General features: G+C 46.6%; 1 protein-coding gene across 10 annotated transcripts in view, besides 2 other annotated features; it reads right to left on the bottom strand.

Annotated features, from left to right (window-relative positions):
• Positions 1-22,164, bottom strand: part of ZNF831 (zinc finger protein 831) — a 135,726-nt gene that overhangs the window by 91,807 nt on the left and 21,755 nt on the right. For 2 of the 10 annotated variants that reach the window (XM_047439880.1, XM_011528540.3), the window contains exons 1-2: positions 20,933-21,267; positions 6,412-7,917 (exon numbers count right to left, since the gene is read on the bottom strand). The gene's annotated coding sequence lies outside the window, so the exon portion shown is untranslated. Of the gene's footprint in view, positions 1-2,367; positions 3,487-6,411; positions 7,918-20,932; positions 21,268-22,164 lie in introns of those variants that run through there. The other 8 variants (XM_011528537.3, NM_178457.3, XM_047439881.1 and 5 more) reach the window with 7 other exon arrangements.
• Positions 7,136-7,961: an enhancer, noted in NCBI's record as "H3K4me1 hESC enhancer chr20:57734401-57735226 (GRCh37/hg19 assembly coordinates)". NCBI's record gives its function as "activates a minimal SCP1, AML or CMV promoter by ChIP-STARR-seq in naive H9 embryonic stem cells {active_cell/tissue: H9 hESC(naive)}" and the evidence as "EXISTENCE:reporter gene assay evidence [ECO:0000049][PMID:30033119]".
• Positions 17,173-17,395: a silencer, noted in NCBI's record as "fragment chr20:57724967-57725189 (GRCh37/hg19 assembly coordinates)". NCBI's record gives its function as "represses an EF-1alpha promoter that drives an FKBP-Casp9 reporter gene in an ReSE screen in HepG2 liver carcinoma cells {active_cell/tissue: HepG2}" and the evidence as "EXISTENCE:reporter gene assay evidence [ECO:0000049][PMID:32094911]".

Here is a 22,164-nt window from a genome sequence, read left to right as displayed (position 1 = left end):
AATTTAACAGTTAAAAAAAAACCAACAACAATCCAATTAGAAAGTGTGCAAACACATGAAGCAAGTTATCACCAAAAACGGTATACAGCCAGCAGATAAGCACACGAAAAGGTGTTCAACATCTTTAGCCACCTGGGAAATATAAATTAAAGCCACAATAAAATATCACTTCACACCTGTCAGAATGGCTAGAATAAAAAATAGTGAAACAGCAAATGCTGGCGAGGATCTGGAAACACTGCCCACGTTGCCAGGATCCATTTCGGTGTGGATGTGAAGTGGCACAGCCATTCTGGAAAAAAGGGTGGCCATTTCTTAACAAATCAAACATGGGACTATTATTCAACCCAGCAACTGCACTCCTGGGCATTTATTTCACAATGAAAACTTACGTTCACACAAAAGCTTGTACATGAATGTTTCTAAAGCTTTATTTGTAATAGTCAAAAATTGGCATCAGCCCAGATGCCCTTCAACAATGAATATTTAAACCAACTGTGGTACATCCATATCACAGAACACTACTGAGCAATAAAAAGAAGCATACCGTTGACACATGAAACATTTGGATGAATCTCTAGAGAATTATGCTGAATGAAAAAAGTCAGTCCCCAAAGGCTACACACCACACTGAATGATTCCATTCATATAACATTCTTGAAATGACAAATTATAAAACTGGAGGACAGACTAGTGATTGCTTGGGGTTAAGGGGTTGGGGGGGAGAGAGAGAGGAGGAGAGCAGGAGGGATTTGGGGTGTCCACGACGCATCCTTGCGGTGACAGAAATGTTCTGTATCTTGACTATATCACTGTCAATATTTTGATTGTGATTTGCAAGATGTTGCTATTGGAGGAAACTGGGTAAAAAACACATGGGATCTCTCTGTATTTTTTTCTTACAACTGCAGGTGAATCTGCAATGTTCTCAAAACAAAGAGGCTAATTTATGAAAGTAATAAATACGTAAATAGAATCAAAACAGGAACAACCTTCCCAGTGTGTGAGTCAATGTTATTTACTGCAGCATCCATAGTGTATCTAGAACCGACCCTAGCCACGAGTACCACAGCCTACCCTTGGAGAAACACCGACTCTGCACAGACCATTTTCCTTTCATTTTCTTTATATCAACTCACTTTTTCTTATGTACCCTTATATATTCAAAGGAAAATTGACATCACTACCATTTACCATATCTGGAAAAGCTCCAACATTGCTATGAATACAAAGTGATCATAAAGAAACTACAAGGGGCTGGGTGTGGTAGCTCACGCCTGTAATCTCAGCACTTTGGGAGGCCGAGGCAGATAGATCACCTGAGGTCAAGCGTTAGAGACCAGCCTAGCCAAAATGGCGAAACCCCTTCTCTACTAAAAATACAAAAAAATTAGCCAGTTGTGGTGGTGAGCACCTATAATCCCAGCTACTCAGGAGGCTGAGGCAGAAGAATCGCTTTAACCCAGAAGGTAGAGGTTGTAGTGAGCTGATCATGCCACTGCACTCCAACCTGGGTGACAGAGCGAGATTACAGCTCCAAAAAAGAAAAAAAGAAGAAAAAAAAAGGAACTACAAGGAAAGCAATGAAAACATACAAAGATCTCTCACTTGGTAACAAGCCAGTACTGAGAACAAGCTTCCTACCTATGCCCCAAAGTCACTCTGCAGAAATCCCTGAGTGTGACCTTCCAGCATAACTCAGCCTTCCCTGCCATGCCACACCCAGACAGGCAGCATGGTGGGTAAAGTTCCCAGACCCTGGAGATAAGACCTGTCTTTGAACCTTTGCTCTGCTACCTATAAACCCTGTAACCTGGAATAAGTCACTTAAACTCTCCATGCTGTGTTTTCCTTATCTGAAAAGTGGGGCTCATGTTCATTTGTTCAAAGGATTGGATAAAACCATAGATGTGATTTGTCCAGACGTGGTAGACTCTCCCTGTGTCTGTTCCTGCCCCACTCCCCTAACCAAACAGCCTACCCTACCTCCCTTTTACAGTCTTGGTTCTCTGCTTACATGATGTTCATGGTCTCTACCAGGAGAAAAGTCTCTCTAGCTGGTAACTCCACGGCGCCTGATAGTGAGCCCATTTCCCCTAGGCAGGTGCTTTTGGGTAACCCTGCTCACATGGCACTCCTCCTTCAGGACCAACCCTCCCCAGCTTCCCAGCGGAAGCACAGCTAAGGAAGCAAATCTCACAGACCCCAACATTGCCACAGAACCTAAGTGTTCTCTCTGATTAATATTAGCCTATGGTCCTAAATACTTGCTCTTAGCTGGGGCAATAAAGCGAGGGTGGTTAAAAGGCATATTATTTTAAACTGGCCCTGACGTTGATTCTGTTTTTCCCAGTCAGCTAATGTTACCATTTTTCTAAGTTGCATCCTGTCCCTCGTTGCATTTTGGTAGATAACATCTCTGGTTTCATTCTTACAGAAAGATTTGCTACGGGAAAGGAGAAACACGTTACCTCTCAGAGCATGGCTTCCATGGCTGATCTGAGATAGCCTCCAGCTCTTTGCTATTTTGGATACTGGGAAGTCAGATATGTGTATAAATACATGGACTATTGGCCCTTGTAAATCTCATTGAAAAATGCTACCCTTGGGTGGCTGATCAGTAGAATTGCTATAAATAGTAGCTCTATCAAATACCTTGATATTTCAATTATATTATATACAAATAAAAAACTTGGCCTAATAAAACATACATATATATGTGTATATATATACCACACATACTTGGGCTAATATGTTCTAACCAATTCACACTTTCAGTTTAATTAGGTTCATCACTGGGAAAAAAAACAGTTTATAAAGCAATAAATTTTCTTATAAATGTTTTTCTGTTTAGTAGAACATGGATTGTGGACCTGGTTTCTGACAGCCATTTTGAATTGTAGTAAATATTTTGACAAAAGCAACAGCAGTATTAAGCACATGAGAGAATTACTTGAACTGGGTCACACACAGTTTTACGTAGCATTTTCCCTTTAACTGCGTGCTTGAAGATAAATATATCATTAAGAACATAGAGTAAAAGAGTTTTTTTTTAACTGACATTTTATATATGCTTATGTCATGGAGCATGTTACATACCTTTATAAACAGTGGAGTGTTTTCAGCCAATGATGCTCTGATTCAAACACAATGATCTGGTTGCCCAGAGAAGACACCCACAGGTCCAGAAAGGACCACTGGGCTGGCCCCACAGAGAAGAGATGAGCTCAAGAGCCCGTGCTCTCACTCTCTGTAGGGAGCTCGCTACTCTTTGCTGAGAGGGCATTTTAGTGTTCTCTCCCAGTTCCTACTCTGCAGGCAGCATCTCAGAGAACGGAGAGATGCTCCCTGAGCCTTAGAAAATAAAATAAAATAAAAGAGGGCAGCCTCCTGTGGCTTGGCCTTTATGTCAAGTCCACGTTTAACTGAGAAAAGCACCATTTCAAGCAACCTGGAAGAGACTCAAGCAGAGATAAAACTTGGTATGGCCCAGAAATAGGAAGTAAATTATTTCCTATACATTACCTAACGTCACGGTAGCAACCCTTAGAAAACAGGAAGAGATAGAAGCAGACACGAAAAAAAAAAAAAAAGAGCCACCGCTCAGCTCTTTAGTAATTGTTACTATTGACCTAACAACCTATAAAGAGCTTGCTGCCCAGAAATGTAGGTGTGCAAAAAAACATTGCATTAGAGATGAGGTTGTTCTGTGCAGGCAAGTTTAAGAATTAGAGCCTAGGTGGTCGTTTTCCTGGAGATGTGGATGGAACAAGTGTTTGCAGAACCTCCACATGTAACCCCAGAGGTTCCTGAGGGCCCAGAATGAGCATTTCCACTGCAATTGACTATGGTGGGAGGTCCCAGTGAAAGATTTCTGCGATGCTGTCTTTATGTAAAATGGTGATATTTTGTTCAACATGGATTTGTTTGAATTAGGTTTTATTTTTAAGATATGGCACTGATCACTCTATTCAACATAGTACTGAAAATCCTAGCCAGAGCAATCAGGCAAGAGAAAGAAATAAAAGGCATCCAAATAGGAAAAGAGGAAGTCAAGTTATCTCTCTTCACTGATGATATGATTCTATATCTAGAAAACCCTAAAGTTGCCACCAAAAGACTCCTAGACCCAATGAATGACTTCAGTAGTTTAAGGATACAAAAATCAATGTACAAAAATCAGTAGCATTTCTATACACCAGTAATGTTCAAGCCGAGAGCCAAATCAAGAACACAATCCCATTTACAATAGCAACACACACACACACACACACACACACACACACACACACCTAGGAATACATCTAACCAAGGAGGTGAAAGATCTCTACAAGGAGAACTACAAAATACTACTGAAAGAAAACAAACAAATGATAAAACACTCCATGCTCATGGATTATAAGACTCAATATCATTAAAATGTCCATACTGCTCAAAGCAATTCAACACTATTCCTATCAAATTACCAATGTCATTTTTCACAGAATTAGAAAAAAACTATTCCAGAATTCATATGGAACCAAAAAGGAGCCCGAATAGCCAAAGCAATCCTAAGCAAAAATAACAAAGCCAGAGGCATCACATTATCTGACTTCAAACTATACTACAAGGCCACAATAACCAACACAGCATGGTATTGGTATAAAAATAGACACACAGACCAATGGAACAGAATAGAGAACCCAGAAATAAAGCTGCACACCTAAAACCAACTGATTTTCAACAAAGTCAACAAAAATAAACAGTGAAAGAAAGGACCCCCTATTCAATAAATGGTGCTGGGGAAACTAGCTAACCATATGCAGAAGAATGTTGAATAGAGTGATTAGTGCCACTCTAATTCCAGAATGAAACTGGACTCTTACCTCTCAATATATACAAAAATTAACCCAAAATGAATTAAATACTTAAATGTAAGACTTCAAACTATAAAAATCCTACAAGAAAACCAAGGAAATACTCTTCTGAATGTCAGCCTAGACAAAGAATTTAAGACTAAGTCCTCAAAAGCAAATGCAACAAAAATAAATATTGACAACTGGTACCTAATTAAACCAAAGTGTTTCTATGTAGCAAAAGAAATAATCAACAATGTAAACAGACAACCTATGGAATGGGAGAAACGATTTGCAAACTATGCAGCCAACAGAGGTCTAATATTCAGAATCTATAAGGAACTTAAACAAACAACAACAAAACCATTAAAAAGTGAGCAAAGGTCATGAAGAGACACTTCTCAAAAGAAGACATGCAAGCAGCCAACAAGCATATTTTAAAAATGCTCATCATCTCTGATTATCAGAGAAATGCAAATCAAAACCACAATGAGATACCATCTCACAGCAGTCAGAATGGCTATGACTAAAAAGTCAAAAAATAACAGATGTTGGTGAGGTTGCAGAAAAAAAAGGGAACACTCACACATTGTTGGTGGGAATGTAAATTAGTTCAACCCCTGTGGAAAACAGTTTGGATATTTCTTAAAGGACTAAAAGTAGAACTACCATTCGACCCAGCAATCTCATTACTGGGTATCTACCCAAAGGAAGATAAATCATTCTACCAAAAAGACACCTGCACTCGTATGTTTATCACAGCACTATTCACAAATAGCAAAGGCATGGAATCAACCTGGGTGCCTGTCAACGGTAGACTGGATGAAGAAAAAGTGGCATATATACACCACGGAATATACAAAGCCATAAAAATAATAAAATCATGTATCCATGCAGCAACATGTAATCCCATGCCTGTAATCCCAGCACTTTGGGAGGCCAAGGCAGGCGGATCACTTGAGGCCAGGAGTTTGAGACTAGCCTGGCCAACATGGTGAAACCCCATTTCTACTAAAAATACAAAAAATTAGCCGGGTGTGGTGGTGCACACCTGTAGTCCCAGGTACTCAGGAGGCTGAGGCAGGATAATAGCTTGAACCCAGGAGCCAGAGGTTGCAGCAAGCTGAGATCATGCCACTGCACTCCAGCCCGGACTACAGAGCGGGACTCCATCTCAAAAAAAAACAAAAAAAAACAAAGACAGTGAGAGTGACTGTAATGTATGGGGTTTCTTTGGGGGTGTTGAAAATGTTCTGGAATTAGATCACAGTGATGGTTGCACAACCTTGTGAATATACTAGAAGCCACTGAATCCGACACTTTAAAAGGGTGAATTGCATGGTATGTGAGTTATATCAATTCAATATAACAAATAAATCCATCACTCCCATTCTAATTTTTCTAAGCACCATGGTACAGATAGACTCTCCAGAGCATGCAACCAATAACCAATGAACTAAGCATGTGGCAACAGTCACCAAAGAAAAAGAAAAATCATTTCCAAAGAATTGTTAACTTGCTTTCTCAGGCCCTTTTTTCTGAAGGAAACAAACAAACACAAAGATATCTCACTCACTTGCCAAGAGCAAGCCTCATTCGGAAAACTGCAGTCTGCATTGACTATTCTTTCAAACAAAACTACCTCATGCAGCTAGAAAAAAAAAAAAAAAGCAGCAAAACCAGGAGGAGACATGAGAAATCCTGTGTGTCCGAGGGAGACTCACGGGTAGAAAGAATAACTCTCTCATTGGCCATGCCCCTCTGGTCTTGCACCATCAGACACACATGCCAGTCCAGAAGCTGTGGTCAGGAGGAGCAGGGACACCCTTCACCTTTGCAGTTCAGTCCCTGGGCCCTTCTCCAGACCCCAAATGTGCAGTCACGTGGCAGGAAGCCCCAGGGAGAGGGGCTGGAGCAGCGCTCTGAGTGGAGCCACCTGGTACACTCAGGGCTAAGTGTGTGGCTGGGTCTCAGCAGGAAACTCGGCCTTGGGGAGCCAACGCAGCCTCACAAGCAAGCTGGGGATGAAGGAGCACCTCTGGGGCCTCAGAGGAATTCGATCAAGAGCGTCCATGAGACAAGCCCCCTGGGCTCCTGCACGGCCCCTCGCCACATCCTTCCTCCCCCCACCATCATGATCCTCTTCTGGGAATTGAACTCATGGCCCCAAGAGTATGTGTCAAATAAATGAATGGGAATAGATGGATATTTCTTGTGTCTATTTTAACCCTCTTATATATACCAAGGAACACAATTTGTGAAGACCCAAGTCCTCCCAAGGTCAGCCATGATGGGTGGTCCTCTCTCCTCTTCTGGAGTCTCCCCAGGGCTGGGCACCTGACAGCCTGTCTTTCGTTCCTGTGGATCCGTCCATTCTCTGGTCTGTGGAGCTTGGTGTCGTGAGCGACTGTAGGAATGTTCGTCTCTGCCTTGGCTGTGCCTGGCCTCACAATGGAACCCAGCATCCAGCACAGGGCCTGGCACAGAGCCAGCCCTCAGTCCACACCTGCTGAATGACAGAGAACTGCGACTCCCTCACTTCCCTGAACTTGCTGGAGAGACCACAGACTTACGCACCAGGTGGAAGCTGATGCCAAAGGCTCCAAAGCACAGTCTATATTCCAATGCAGGTGCTGTCATGCCTTGTCCTGTGGGGGAGGCAGCGGAACCCAGGGCTCCTCTCTGGGGCTCAGCAATGCCCTGCCTCGGGGAGGCACGCACTCCGCTTTCCACTGAAGCTGGTTCCCTCTTGGGGTTTGGTTCCCCTAACATCCACCGCATGCTCTCTCCATTGTCAGAAGAGGTTGATCATCACCAGCCCTGTGCGAGGGAACAGGAAGCTGAACCTGAGGAGCCCCCCTCAGGAAGTAACACTCCTCAGATGTGCGACATTGTGCTGAGGGCCACCGCTCTCATCTCCGTGCATATAGGAAAGTACCTCCCCCTGGAGTGTCATTGGATGAACACCCCATGCAATTATCTGCTTGCACATCCTCAGGGCCACCTCAGCGATGTTTTTATTTAAGGCATGATGCATCCACCCCGTTTTTGATTATCCATGGTAATGGGGGTCAAGGATCAGCTGAATAATTGAAAAGGAAACTTTATTCCCACTGAGAGTTCCTCTCCTCTCCACCTCCTTCCTCCCTTCTGCAGCATCCAAACAGGGAGAGGGGCGCTGTTGGGCCATGGAAGGGGTACTGGGTTGCTAGTCCTTATCTCAGCCCCACCAGGACTTTGTTAGGGATTTGCTTGGTGTTAAGCAAGCCTGAGCTTCTTGGTGGGTCTGTGAAGTAAAGGGCTGTACCACAAGTCATCTGTATTTATTTTCATAACACACCTCTTCAAATTGACTTGCTTTTATCATTTAATTTGTCCCAAGCTATAATAATTGATGTGATATTTTTTGTAATATTCATTAAAATAACTCCATAATTATGGCACTTGAAAAAAGTTATATGAAAAATCACCACCCACCCTGGCTTGGATCCTGGAACAGAAAGAGACATCAGTTGACAGACTGGTGACGTGCACATAAAGTCTGGAGTTTACTTCATAGGAATGTACCCACCTGCGTTTCTTAGTCATGACAAATGCCCCGTGCGCATGTAAGATGCTGCGGGGTGGGGGTTCACTGGCTGAAGGGATGTGGGAATTTCTGTGCTAACTGTGCAGCTTTTCTGTACATCTCAAACGATTCCAAAATAAAAAGTTTATTAAAAAGAAAAAGTCCCTCCTAATGTCAAATAAATGAGGTAAAAAGTTAAAAACCAAACAAAAGTGTCCCCAGGGGGTGCATACCAGCCTTTGGGAAATGGGCTGACTGCAGGTCTGAATGGTCTGATACTTTGAACAAAAGGGATGGCCTGGGTTTGGGTTGATCTCTCCAGCCCAAACTCCTCCAGGGAAGGCTAAGTGAGAAAGAGAAAACAGACAATCCACGTCACCATCACCTGTGGTTCAGTGGGCACAGAGTGGGCAGAACTTTGCCAAGACAATGTCCTCCTGACCCACAAACAAGTTCCCTGCATCCTGTCCTCCCCTCACCTCTGCTGACCTGTTGCCTCGTCCCCTCTCCCTGTGCAGCACAGACTGTTTGGAAATAAATGCCCCCTGGACCCTTTCTGGAAATGCTCCCGTCACATTGACGGAGATGGCTCCATCAAGCTGGCTTCCTGCGCACGCCAGGCTGTGACTGTTGGGTCCTGGGGGAAAGGCACACAACCTCTCAGTGCCCAATGCTCCCCCGGAGTAATCGCCTTCTGCAGCTCCCTGTCGCCACGGGCCAGTCTCACTGCATCACAGATAATGAAAGCGCCTGAGGAACAGAAGCAAAGCCAGAGGAGAGCAGGGTGTGGTACATTCCTGCTTAGGAAGATGTGATGTGGCTCCTGAGCACTTGGCTACCGACTTTTAATCATAGAGTGAGAAAATGAAATCATTTCCAGCACCTGAAGTGATTTCTTTGGTGTCACCCACTGTTTTTGTAGATTAATTTTTCAGGACCAGAAAGAAAAAATGTTTATATTTCAGCTACAACAAGAAAAGCTGGTTCCCCCTCCTTGCAGCCCCAGAAGTTTCTTATGTAAGGAGTTTGCTTTCTTATTTGTTTTTTTAAAGGGAAGAGTTTACTGGCCCAGATGGGGAACAAAATGGCAGGGCTGGGACCCTGCCACACCCATCACTTGGGGGGCTGGCTAATCAGTGTCTGTTGGATGTATTTACAAAAACAATATGTTTAAACATTTCAATAAACAGATTTAAACACAGATTTGTATATTAGCCTCTGCCAACTCTTCTCCAAGCCAAGAATCCTTTGTCCTTATGAAACCAAATGATGACTGTTCCTTGAATCCAAGTCCTGGTCTGAGAGACCCTGGCCCTTCCCAGGGTTTGGTTTTCTCTTCCTTTTGGTGGCCTATGACCTTTCACTCTGGTTTTATTTCTCACTGTCTATCCTCTGAGTATGTTCTCACTGTAAGTCCCCTCAAATCCTTTTTGGAAGGTGGCAGGGCTCTCAAATGATAAGCCACCCAATTCGCCTCCCAAGCCAGAGTTCAGAATCCCATCCACAGCCGGAGGAAAGAGTGAGCCTAGCCTCATTTCCCTCTTCCCTTAGCACACGGATCCGCCCCCACACTTTCAGTAGGACTTGTTTTCATTTTAGTTTTTAATTTTGTTTTCTTCTTTCTCGCTCATTTGTGGGAGGTAAAAATTAAAACAATTGAACTCACAGAGATAAGAGGGTAGGGGAGTGGGCGGGAAAGTGGGGATGGTTAATGGGTACAAAACTATAGTTAGAATGAATAAGCTAGAATTTGATAGCACAACAGGATGACTACAGTCAACAATAATTTATAGCACATTTAAAAATTAAAAGAGTATAATCAGAATGTTTATAACACAAAGAGATGATAAATGCTTGAGGTGATGGATGCACCATTTACCCTGATGTGGTTATTAAACACTGCATGCCTGTATCCAAATATCCCACGTATCCCATAAATATATACACCTACCATGTGCCCATAAAAAGTAAAAAATTAAAATAAAATTTTAAAGAATGGTTTTAAAGTTCTTTCTTCTTTTTAAAAAAATATTTAGTTGAGATGTTTATTCCACCTTTTAAGAATTCTGCCTTTGCAACAACACAGAGGGGCCCAGAGGACGTTATTCTCAGTGAAATAAGCCAGGCAGAGAAAGAAAAATACTATCTGATGTCACTTCTATGTGGAATCTAAAACAGTCAAACTTATAGAAGCGGAGAGTCCAGCGGTGATCACCAGGGAGTAGGGGAGGAGAAATGGGGAAGGTGAGGGTCAAAGGCTACAAAGTTTCAGTTATGCGAGATGGCTAAGTTCTGGAGGCCTAGTACACAGCAGAGTGTCCGTTTTGCCTATTTAACATTTTCTTTCTTTTCTATTATTTATTTATTTATTTATTTTTGAGACAGAGTCTCACCCTGTCGCCCAGGCTGGAGTGCAGTGGTGCAATCTCGGCTTACTGCAACCTCCACCTCCTGGGTTCAAGCCATTCTCCTGCCTCAGCCTCCCGAGTAGCTGGGTTTACAGGCTCCCACCACCAAGCCTGGCTAATTTTTTCTATTTTAGTAGAGACAAGGTTTCACCACGTTGGCCAGGCTGGTCTCAGACTCCTGACCTCAGGTGATCCGCTCGCCTCAGCCTCCCTGGGATTACAGGCGGGAGCCATTGCAGTCAGCCCACGTACTTAAAATTTTCTAAGACAGTAGATCATAGGTTATGTTTTCTGGCCACAGATAATAATAAAGGAGGCGAGAGGAAACTTTGGGAGGTGAATATGTCTACGGCCTTAATGGTGCTGATGGTCTCACAGGTGCATACTTATCCCTAAAGTCATACAGTGTATGTTAAATACATACAGCTTTTTACGGGACTTGCTTCTAAGCGCTGGGAATTTCAGTCTTCGGTTGAGCATGAGGGGGAGCACACAACTCATCATGTACCCTTTAGGTGGACCCTACTTCTTCCTCTTTAGTCTTCGGTTGAGCATGAGGGGGAGCACACAACTCATCATGTACCTTTGGGTGGACCCTACTCCTTCCTCTCTAGGAGGGGCTTTCTGGCACGTGTCTCAAGGCCAGACTCTGAAGATGAAGTCTTCCCAGAGGAGGAGAATTGTTCCTTTCACTCAGGGTCTCCAACCCATCTCTTACCATTCCCAAAGGAGGGGAGACTTTTGGAATTTTAGAGCCAACAGTGCTTCAGGGATTATCTAATGCAGCCACATCACAATACGGTGCCCCTTCTCTCCTTCCTACACTCAGGGTAGACAGTGCGGCCTGGCCCCAGCACTCCTCCCTGCTGCGCTGGGCAGCGGAAGCCAGCTTTACCTGGACTTCCAAGGCAATCATTCCCAGTAAGATTTAGCACCTGAGCTAAAACCAATTTGCTACCCCCTCATTCTAAAGATCACAGAGCAAGAAAAGTTGACCAGCTAATGAGCAAGATGGGAACAAACCCACCTCTCACCAGAGCCCAGCCAGTCACCCAAAACACCAAATCCCAGCTGCTCCCATTCACATCAGGGTGCTCTAGGCATGTATGTGCAGACAGAGACACAGCTGCACACAGACAAAAATATTAGTGCATTCATGTGCCCAGCCTTGCCTGCTTTCCTGCCTGCTAACAAGTGTTCTGACTTTGTCCAATCTCTTCCTTCCCTTCCTCCTACTTCTGAGAGGTTTTGCCTTTACTAGACTGTTCTATAGTCTTTTGTATGATGTATAATCAAGATAACTGGGAAACAATGACAAAAGCCAAACAGGCAGATTGTAATGAAAAAAAAGCTATGAAAGAGGAAGACATTATCCCTCCCAGGTGTCAGGGAAACTGTATTCAAGTTACTTGTCCAGCAAATACTGACTGACTCCCCAGCACATCCCAAGTTTCATTCACGGCTGTAAGATCAGGGGAGAATAAGAAAGCGGCCCCCTTGCCGTCATGGGACTGACATTTCAGTGTGAGAGACGGGTATAAATAGGAAAATATGTACATGAGTGAAGTGATTTTAGAGAAAATCACAATGAAGGAAAAGGAATAGAGTGGTATGATGAGTCACAGGGGAGGGGTAGGAGGCCGTCTATGAAGACAGACCTGGGAGATAAGAAAGATTCAGCCCCAGGCACATCTGAGGGCAAAGGGCAAAAGACGGTGCGGTGAGTGCCAAGGCGCTAAATGGGCACTCTTCCCTGCAATGCAGAAACCAGCAGAAGGCTCATGAGTTGTCAGGGTCCCCACAAAGTGGGCAGAGCGAGGAGAGAAGCCAGGCAGCATGCCGGGGACAGATGACATAGAGCTTAGGCCACAGGAGAAGTTTTGTTCCAAGTGGCATAGGACTTGTCTCCGAGAGAAAGTCATTAAGAGAAGCAGCAAGGGCAATGCAAAAGGAGGAACTCCTCATGGAGTCTGAAGAAGAGGGACACTGGAGTTGCTGCAGGATGGGAGGAAAGTGGAAGGAAAAGGAGGTACCAATCGCAGGGGATTGGGGTAGAGACCGCTTCGGCTTCACAGGGTTCGAGCAGAGAGCTTGAGTTCTCATGGTGCTTTCTGCTCACTGCTCTGGGACCGCACCACCTGGGTCCTGTCCCAACACGGTTATGTGTACCTTCTACGTGGGTTACTAACACTTGTGAATGAGCATGTGTGCATTCTTGGAGAAGCACTTAGTCTCTGCATGTATGTCTTTCCCCAATCCTACATGGGAAAACCAAATCTGGCTCTCCCAACCCACTGCAAGAAGTGATCTCCCCACTGCCAAACCTCAGCAGCAGGGTCCCTGTGACACTTTTAGGTGAATCTTGGCTCGTCTCACATTGTAGTGGATTTAGCTTAGCTCTCTGGACTCTAAGATCTTCAAAAGTGAGAGCTGCACTTTTTTTATGACTAGCTCTTTCTAGCATCCTCTGTGAAGCATGACCAACCCACCAGGCTGCAGGAGTCTCCACCACCTCTAGGGTCCTGTGCCACCATAGTCACTCCTCACCACCTGAACAGGACAATGCCCTGTAATGACTGGTTTATACGTCAGGCTTTCTCATCAGACCATGTGCTCCTTGAAGGAGTAGATGAAAATTTCTCTTTCTTAGCCCAGCTCCAATTAGGTACTTGGTAAGCAATTGTCCAATGGAATCTCTCAGCTATTTTGGGAGAGCAAAAATTGCTTGTGGCTTTTTCAAAGAGTTTGCTACAGTACAAAGTAGCAGGACAGTAATTCCCTCTCCAAGACTATGCTGGCCAAAGCCTCCTCCTGCCCTGTCCTTGACCTCCTGGAGTTCAGCTTGATGGGGTCACCAGCCCCCAACCACATTTGCCCTTCATAGGGTGTGCTGGTGAGCCCCCGGAACCATTGAACATGTCCGTCCAGCCTTCCAATCAGCTCTTGGCAGCGGGGCACCCAGGCTGCCAGGGCAGCTTCCAGCACGAATAAGCGCTTGGCCCTGTGTGCCTTGGCACTCACTCCCTCAATGAGGCAATCCACTGCTCCTGCCAAGCCTTCCGCTCCCAGGGGGAGGCTGTCCCAGGAAGATGCGCCCAGCCCAGGGAGGAGGGACAAACAGAAATCGGGCCCTGACCTTCTCAAAAGTCAGGCAAGGGGTCTGGAGCAGGCTTAAGATCTTGTTGACTCCTTCCTGTTCTCTCCGGGTCCAGTTCCACAGGATTTGGCTCTGTTGGGAAGAACACAGAGCATGCGGGCTGGGGGCCAATGCACGTGTGCTCGGCAGCAAGGGTGGTGGGAAAATCAGGTGGGTGCTGAGCTCAGGAACAGGGACTGTATGAGACACTGCTCAGGTGGGAAAGAGTGAGTTGTTGAGTCTGTTGGACTGAGGATGGTGGCGATGGCAAAGTGGGATTTTGGTCAAGTTGTACAGTCCAGAGCTGGCCAAAGTCCAGTTTCCTCCCTTCACCTTCACCCCTGCTACATGCAAAGCCTTCTCCACCACCAGCAGAGGGATCTTTTTTAAACACAGAAGTCCACCCACACATCCCCACTCTAGCTAAAACCTTGTAGTAGCCTCGTCACTCTTGGAACAAAGTAATGTCCTCCACCTAGCAGGGCCCATGTAGGCCAGCCTCTGCCCACTTCCTCAGCCACTTCCCAAGCCCCACTTCTGGTTGCCTGCAGCACAGCCACATACTGGCCTTTTGGCTCCTTGGATGCTGGCCCATGTCAGGGGCCCCAAGGGAGCTGTACTCAAGGCCTGAAGTGCTCTTTCCATTCCCTACTGCCTCCTACTCAAGCTTCACTTATGCCCTCAGGGAAGCCTCGGGCACCTGCTCCCTGAGCAGCTCAGATTCCCCAGAGTTCATCACAGCTGCAATTAAAAAATTAAATGTATCATTACTTGCTTAACGTTGCAATCCCCAAAAGAGCAGGGACTTTGTACCCTATTCGCCAGCTCCAAGCCCACTGCCCCGGCATGCACGGATGGATGCGTGCACCCTCCAATCAAACCAAAGGCCCCCAGGCTCTCCTCCACACTTTGCTTATGCTGTTCCTCAGCCAGGAATTCCCTTCCTTCTCTTGATCCACAAACCCAAAATCCACCTGTCCACCTACTCGCTGCCTCCTCAACCAAGGCCTCTGGAAACCCCCAACCCCCTGTAAGTGGTGATCTCCCACTCCCGAACCTCAGCAGCAGAGTCCCTGTGACACTTTTAGGTGAATTTATGCCTGTCTTACATTGTAGTGGATTTAGCTTAGCTCTCTGGACTCCTAAGATCTTCAAAAGTGAGCGCTGTACTTTTTTTCTCATTACTAGCTCTTTCTAGCACCTAAGCTGGTACCTGGCAAACAGCAATGACTAATAACTATTATGATTGATCAGGCAACAGACTAGTGAAACCTCCAAGCTGGGGTGTGAGGGAGGTGCTGTCATTACAAATATTACTTAACAGATGAGGAAAGGAGGTTGATAGTGGTGAGGCAGCTCGCCCCAAACCACTCAGCCAGAGACTGGCAAAGACAACCTGTGGCTGAGGCTATATGGCCCCCACACCAGCATGTTCAACCATTCAATCAAGCCCTGCCTTTGGTGTACACCTTCCCCTTGCAGCATCGCTAGACAGAGGGGCTGGGCAGCCACCTCCTATGGGTCTCCCGAAGGTTCAGCGTTCCCTCGTGGAGAACATCTCCAATACATGGGGCTCAGCCGGCACCAGTATTTGAGGCAAACCTACTAACTCTAAGAGCGCAAATACAAAACAATCTTAGCTAAAACTACTACAAATCTCCATAAAGGACTTTTCAAAACAGTGCTCTCTTCAGAAAGTCCACGCCCAGGAGCTGGTGTTGAAAGCCATCCCTCATTCACCTGGCAGCGATTCACCTGACCGGCCTGCAGAACTCAGGTGGAATCTTGGCTCGGTATCTCACCAGTTGTGGCCAAGTTATTTTACCTTTCTAAGCCTCGAGGTTTTCATCTGTCAAGTCAGGGCAACAAGAGCCCCAGGCACATGGGAGAATTAAGCACAAGATGCTAGCACAGGGTCGGGTGTATCATAAACACCTGGTCAACGCTCACAGTAGCATCACTGTGGTTAGGATTATTCTCCTCAAAGGTCTGCAGTCCTGTGGCATCTCAGCAGGAGGGTGCCCAGGGAAAGGGCCATTTCCTTCTGTCCAGAGATGGGTGCTGGAGCCTCAGGAAGGGTTATCCCAGGAGACAGAAGCCATGTGGCTTGCTGGGAATACACAGATCAGGGTGGCAGGTCATGCACACATCAACACACCCCCTCCAGCCTTAGGCATCCACCTCCATGCTAGCCCCCTCGCATCTTCATCCACACCAGGAAAGTAAGTGTGTGCATGTGTCCCAGCCCACATGTACCGGGAACATGGGCCTCTCCAGAGACCCAGCCGCTATCAGCCCGGTACCCCTGCACTATCGGAAACCCATGGACGGCTGGAGGCTGTGCTCATGGGTCTCCCATCTGGGCAGGCGGGCCAAGTGTATTTGTATATAATTTGCATGGTTGACACAGCCGTTCCCATCTCTGCAAGGAGAACTTCCAAGCTAACCTGTTATTACTGCTCCTCTGAAGCTGGCACGGCCCGCCCGCCCACAGCCAGCGAGTACTATGCAGAGAGACAGGCCAGGAGCTGACTGAGCGTTCGGGTGCGCCACACCAACCTCCCTGAGCCTCTGTTTCTCTCCTGGACAACAAATCACTACACACCTCCGTTGGGCAGACTCAAGGAGAGCTCCTTGCCCACAAAATGACAGCGTGTGCTGGCGCGGAGTACTGGCCACAGCATAGTGGGCTGTTTGTTATTCTCAGAAGGTCAGGAATTAATCTGGATGGAGAAGTTTGCCTCAACGTTCCTCCCAGATGATGGTTCTGAGTCTCATACGGTGGGTCCCCTATGCTATGGTTACTATTCATAGATGATCTATAAAAATACAGGATTGCCTACTTAAATTTGAATTTCGAAGAAATAATAAATATTTTAGTTTAAGTATATCCTGTGCAGGCTTTGGGACACGCTTATACTAACAAAGTATTCATTGTTCACCTGAAATTCCCATTTTAACTGGGCATCCTGTATTTTATCTGACAACCCTACCTGTGACCCGAGGTCCACTGGTTTCCATTACGACTTATATCCTGTTTTCTCACAGTTTTTACCTAAACTCAAAGGAACACGGTCTCTGTTTCCTAAATGTGCAGCTTCCCAATCTAGGATAGGGAGGGCAGAGGTTGCATGTGAGGAAAATTGAGACTTGCTGAGAGGAGAGAGGGAGGGAAGGAGAGAGAGAGAACATGTGTTTCCTAATTGAGGTAAAAATCTAAAATCTGTTCCTCTTTGGTTTCTGTGAGGAGCCTGGTGGTTACCATTGTGAACGTGAGGCCACGTTTCCTGTGGCAAAGGGTATGTGTGTTTTTATCAACAGAGCCCGTTTCTAGGGCTCCTCTCAGGATGTGAGGCCCGTAGCAGGTCACAGAGGAAAAGGCGGGCCATGGCGGGGCAAAGGGGGCTGGCGCTGGCGTTGGATGGGGGTCCAGCCATTGAGGCTCCCTGGAGAGCCTTAGCCCTGTGTGGGACGACAGCCCCCCTCAGGGCCTCGGCTCAGATTTCCCTGTGCACACCGGCCAGCTGGAACATTCCACAGAAAAAGGCAGTGGAGACTGGGCCTTGCCGGATTCCCTGGGGCCCTCAGGGCAAGTTCCAGCCCCGCCATCCACACAGTGTCAACATCACAGGGACAAGGCTCAGGCATGAAACATGTGTTGGGGGCCCTGTGGATGGTGTCTGCTCTCCATACAGGGGCTCTGCAGCCTCTCTCTCCGACAGGCCAAGCCCAGGCTTTTGGCGCTCACTCAGGAGGGAACCCTTTTCCTTCACGATTTTTTTTGGAGGAGGGAGATCTTATTTTATAGTAAGATCAATAGATATATTATGGAGTATAAGGTTAAAGTTTTATATCTTTAAGATACAATGCAAAAAGTAAAATGAAATGTATAAGACTCCGTTTCTTCCTCCATAAAATGGTATTGGGGAAGGCGCCAACCACATGGGGCCATTACAGAGATTAGACAAAGAGACATAAGCAAAGCCCTTCTTTGGCACAGCCCCAGGCCACAGTCACATCTTCTTTAATTGGAAGTTTGCCATTGAGACTGGGCCCAAGGATTAACATCCCTTCATCTCGTCTGGCTTATCAGACCTCCACACACAGAAAGAAATTGCAAAGCAGCAAAGGGAGTCTAGGTTTTGAGCACCAGAGGAAGCTGGTTAATCTTCAGTTGATTTTCTGATGGCACCTCTGGTCTGATCTCAAACAGAGGATGGGGTCTGAGAGCCCTTACCTTGTCTGACCCATCAAGATGGGCACCCATCCTATTCATCTGTGGCCACAGACACGGCCAGCCTGGAAGGGATGGAGACCCTCGTTACCAATGGAGACACCATCCCCTGGCTCTGCCCCTCACAGCCTCTGGCCAGGGCTGAACTCGAGTGCCCGCAGCCCAGAACGCTGCAACTGCACCTGCTCTCCAAGGCACAAGATGCTCTGGGGAAGGATGTGGTAAGCTGTGTCCAAGGTGCAGGGGTGTTGTGGTCAGGAGGGCAGAACTCACACCAGGTATGTGGGTCTGAGGTAGGAGGCTGCAGGACCTCTGAATCTCCTGGCTGGGTGACAGGATGGAATTGAGCCTCAAGACATGAGACCCAGAGTCAGCACCCTGCTTGCTCTCACGCTCTGTTCTTTTTTTTTTTTTTTTTTTTTTTTTTTTTTTTTTTTTTTTTTTTTGAGACGGAGTTTCGCTCTGTCGCCCAGGCTGGAGTGCAGTGGCGCGATCTCGACTCACTGCAAGCTCCACCTCCCGGGTTCACGCCATTCTCCTGCCTCAGCCTCCCGTGTAGCTGGGACTACAGGCGCGCGCCACCATGCCCGGCTAATTTTTGTATTTTTAGTAGAGACGGGGTTTCACCGTGTTAGCCAGGATGGTCTCGATCTCCTGACCTCGTGATCTGCCCGTCTCGGCCTCCCAAAGTGCTGGGATTACAGGCGTGAGCCACCGCGCCCGGCCGCTCTGTTCTAACCCATCTTCAGAACATCAGAAATGTAGCAGTGGTGATGCTTCCCAAGGACTGAACAGGGACTTTGCCACTGGTCCTCAGAGCTCATGTGCACCCCTTGGATATCCCCCCTCAACAGAGAGGCCAGCCCCATTCCATCATGGAAACCCTCCCAGCCTACTCTGATGAGATTGTCCGTGTCCCTGTCTTGGATGGGCCGACCACAAATGACTTAGGAACTAAACGAAGACTATGCATTGGCCTTGACCAACGGCACTTAACAATTAGCGTCAATGGCCCCATCAGGCTCTAGGTTAGTAGGAGAACATTCTCAAGCATTTCAGAGAGTATAAGGGACGTCTCTTCTAATTAGGGTCCATGATGTAGTCATACTTTCTTATTGATCTAATAATTGGTGCAAATGTACAAAAACAGCTGTCCCAACAGTGTGCTGCCACGTGGCCTTGGGTTTTTCATTCTGGCCTGTAATCCCCCCTTTTACCACCTCAGAAAGCAAGGCTTCATGCGTACAATCATGCCTGCATTTCAGCTGCTCTTCAGATTTACAGCCTCGCCTCTGAAATATGAACAGGTTTTTTGGAGATAATTAGTCTCACACACAACTTCAGCCAACATCTGATCAACCCCAGTCATATCATTAGTTCTTGCTAACATATTACACTTTGCCTAAACTATATTGGAAGATGTTCTCCAGTTATGATATCTGATTAGTCAAAATCAGCCTTGTTTGGAGATGAGGGGGGCCTCATTCTTCCTTGTGGTAGGAGAGCTGCCCTCAAAGCCTTTTCTTTAAATTCTAAGCCATGATCCAACATCTTTGCCTTTTCCCAATTTCAGCTTGTACAGCCTTTCCTTTTAAAAAACAAAGTATAACAATTGCAATTCTCCCTTGGCCACTGGCCAGACATCCAAGGGCCAGAGTGAGGAGATTAACGGATACACCCAGAGGGGACAAGGTCAGAGAGCAGAACATTCTGGACACATGTTTGTGTCAGAGACCAGACCCCAAAGGACTGGAGAGCTCCCATTAAGAAGGGCTGGTACCTCCAGCTAGAGTGACACGCGAGGGCCCTTCAGAGCCTGTGCATGGAACATGCCTGTGACATTAATTAATGCCAGGCAAAATGTAACAGCAGATCTTGGAAACTAAAAATAGATCTTTACTAACTGATTCATCCCCTGACTGCACAGAATTTGGAGCTTTTTGTCTGCTTCTCTTCTACATGTACATTACATTACGGCCTCTTTTCCCCCTTTTCTCCATCTTTGTTGTTCTTCCTTTTTCCTCTCCTTCTTGGTGAAAGGTCTAAACCTTCCAGAAGCGATGTCCCCACTCAGCTCCCCTCCGACCCAGAGACATGCTCGATAAGCAAGGAGATTACTCCTTCTCCTGCTCCCATGGTTGTCAGCCATGTAATCTGCACTTAGTATTTTCCATGCCGAGGTCCCTGCCTGTTGCATTCCACACAGAACTCTGCAGCTTCATTTCCTATTAGAGTCCCTTCTATTTTAGACTTTGTTGATTTCTACTAGGAAGGAAGCCTATTTTAAAAAAATTAGCTGGACAGCTGGGTCTGATTGCTTTTGGTTACTGGGCTTGGGGCCACCAGGGAAACAGGCTTCCCAAAGCCCCTTGGATGGAGGACCATTTCATAGGGCCCCAAAAGTGTGAGTCACTACTCACTCTAGAGAGGAAGGGCCAGCAGCCCCGGTTGGAAATCAACAGGTCAAGTCAAAGGCAGGACGGCACCTTCATCCACATCTGAGGTTTACAAGGCTGTGCTGAAAGGTGAGGAGGAGGGGCTAGAAGCCCCTTGGTTCAAGAGATCTCAAGGGGACCTGAGTGGGGCTCGTGTCAGAGATAACTGCGTGTGCTTGGAAGGAATCATCCATCATGCTTGCCTGATAGAATCACTCGGGAGGCAACAGACCAGGCTCAATGATTAAGATCCCTTCATCTGGCCTTGCATCCCAGAACTCCAGGTGCACAAAGAAATCACAAAGTCCTCTCTCACCTTTAAGTGCTCAGTCCACAGGCAGGTGGGGGCTGCCGCTCTCTCCCGAAAACCGGTGGCTCCGATGAGGCAGGAGCATTCTCCCTGCTCGTCCCATCTCTGCCTCTGCTTCTCTTTATGCCTTCTCTAGAGAAAAACCGACTGCTGGAAATTTAAAAAAAGAAAAATTGTGTGTGTGGAGGGTGGTGGGTGTCGGGGTTGCTGGGGCGGCGGGGGTGGCAGAGGGACACCGGGGGTAGGTGTGCAGCCTGCCCTGGTGTGGGCTCGGGTTTAATGGCCGACGCTGGTGATATGGTTTGCCTGCTGAAGCTCAGTGCCACGGCAGCTCTGTGTGTGGGCGGCGGCAGCTACACGGCTGGGTTTCAAACCATTACACTGAACATTTGCAAACAGATAAAAAAACAAAACCATCCGGTACAAATGGAAACTTCTGTTCTCCTTTCTCTTCCTGCACTCTTTCCCCTTGCACCTCTCCTCTTCAGTTGAGGAGGAGGAGGGTGAGGGTGGGCATTTCTCTGTCTGGGCTCCCTTGGTCCCCTCTTTTCCGACCATACCACTCCCACGGCCACTCACATGGACAGGGAAATCAGGTCTTCCAGACCAACTCCCCCAGCTTTGGGAATGTCCAGTCATGTGAGAAGGATTTTCTCTCCTCCAGGGTCTTGCTCAGAATCCAGCCACTGAGAGCCACCAAACCAAAAGAGGGTGTGGGCTTCCATATCTGACATTCTTTCATCCTTCCTAGTTTCAAAGCCACCTTAGAAATGGCCAAACACAAAGTGGGGTGAGGTGTCCTTTCACATCTAGGTGACACTTTTCCCACAGAACATCATGCACACAGTGGAATGTGATACTCCATGAAAAGAAAAGAGGTCTTGTGGTCAAATGACTTTGGGAAATGTTGCATCCTGTATTGCTCTGGAATAATCATAGAGCACATTACCAGGTAAAGGCTCTGAGAAGTCCTGCAATAAAGAATCTTGTTTTACTTTGTTTAATCCAACATTTTCAAAAAGGGTAAGACCTTAAAGGACCGACCCCTCCTCTCCCTTAACAAAGACAATGACACACACAAACACACACACAATCTTCCGTCCCTCAGCCCAATGGTAACGTGACCCAAGTCAATTATTTTAGCCAGAGAGCAAGATTGGGCCAGAAAGGATACATGTGGGGAAAGGGTCCGGTCAAAGTTCACCATCTAAGGACACTATCAGCTGGGAATTAACCAA

The sequence above is a fragment of the Homo sapiens genome, chromosome 20 (assembly GCF_000001405.40).
Source record: "Homo sapiens chromosome 20, GRCh38.p14 Primary Assembly".
NCBI lineage: Eukaryota > Metazoa > Chordata > Mammalia > Primates > Hominidae > Homo > Homo sapiens.
This window is presented reverse-complemented; position numbering and strand designations above follow the sequence as displayed.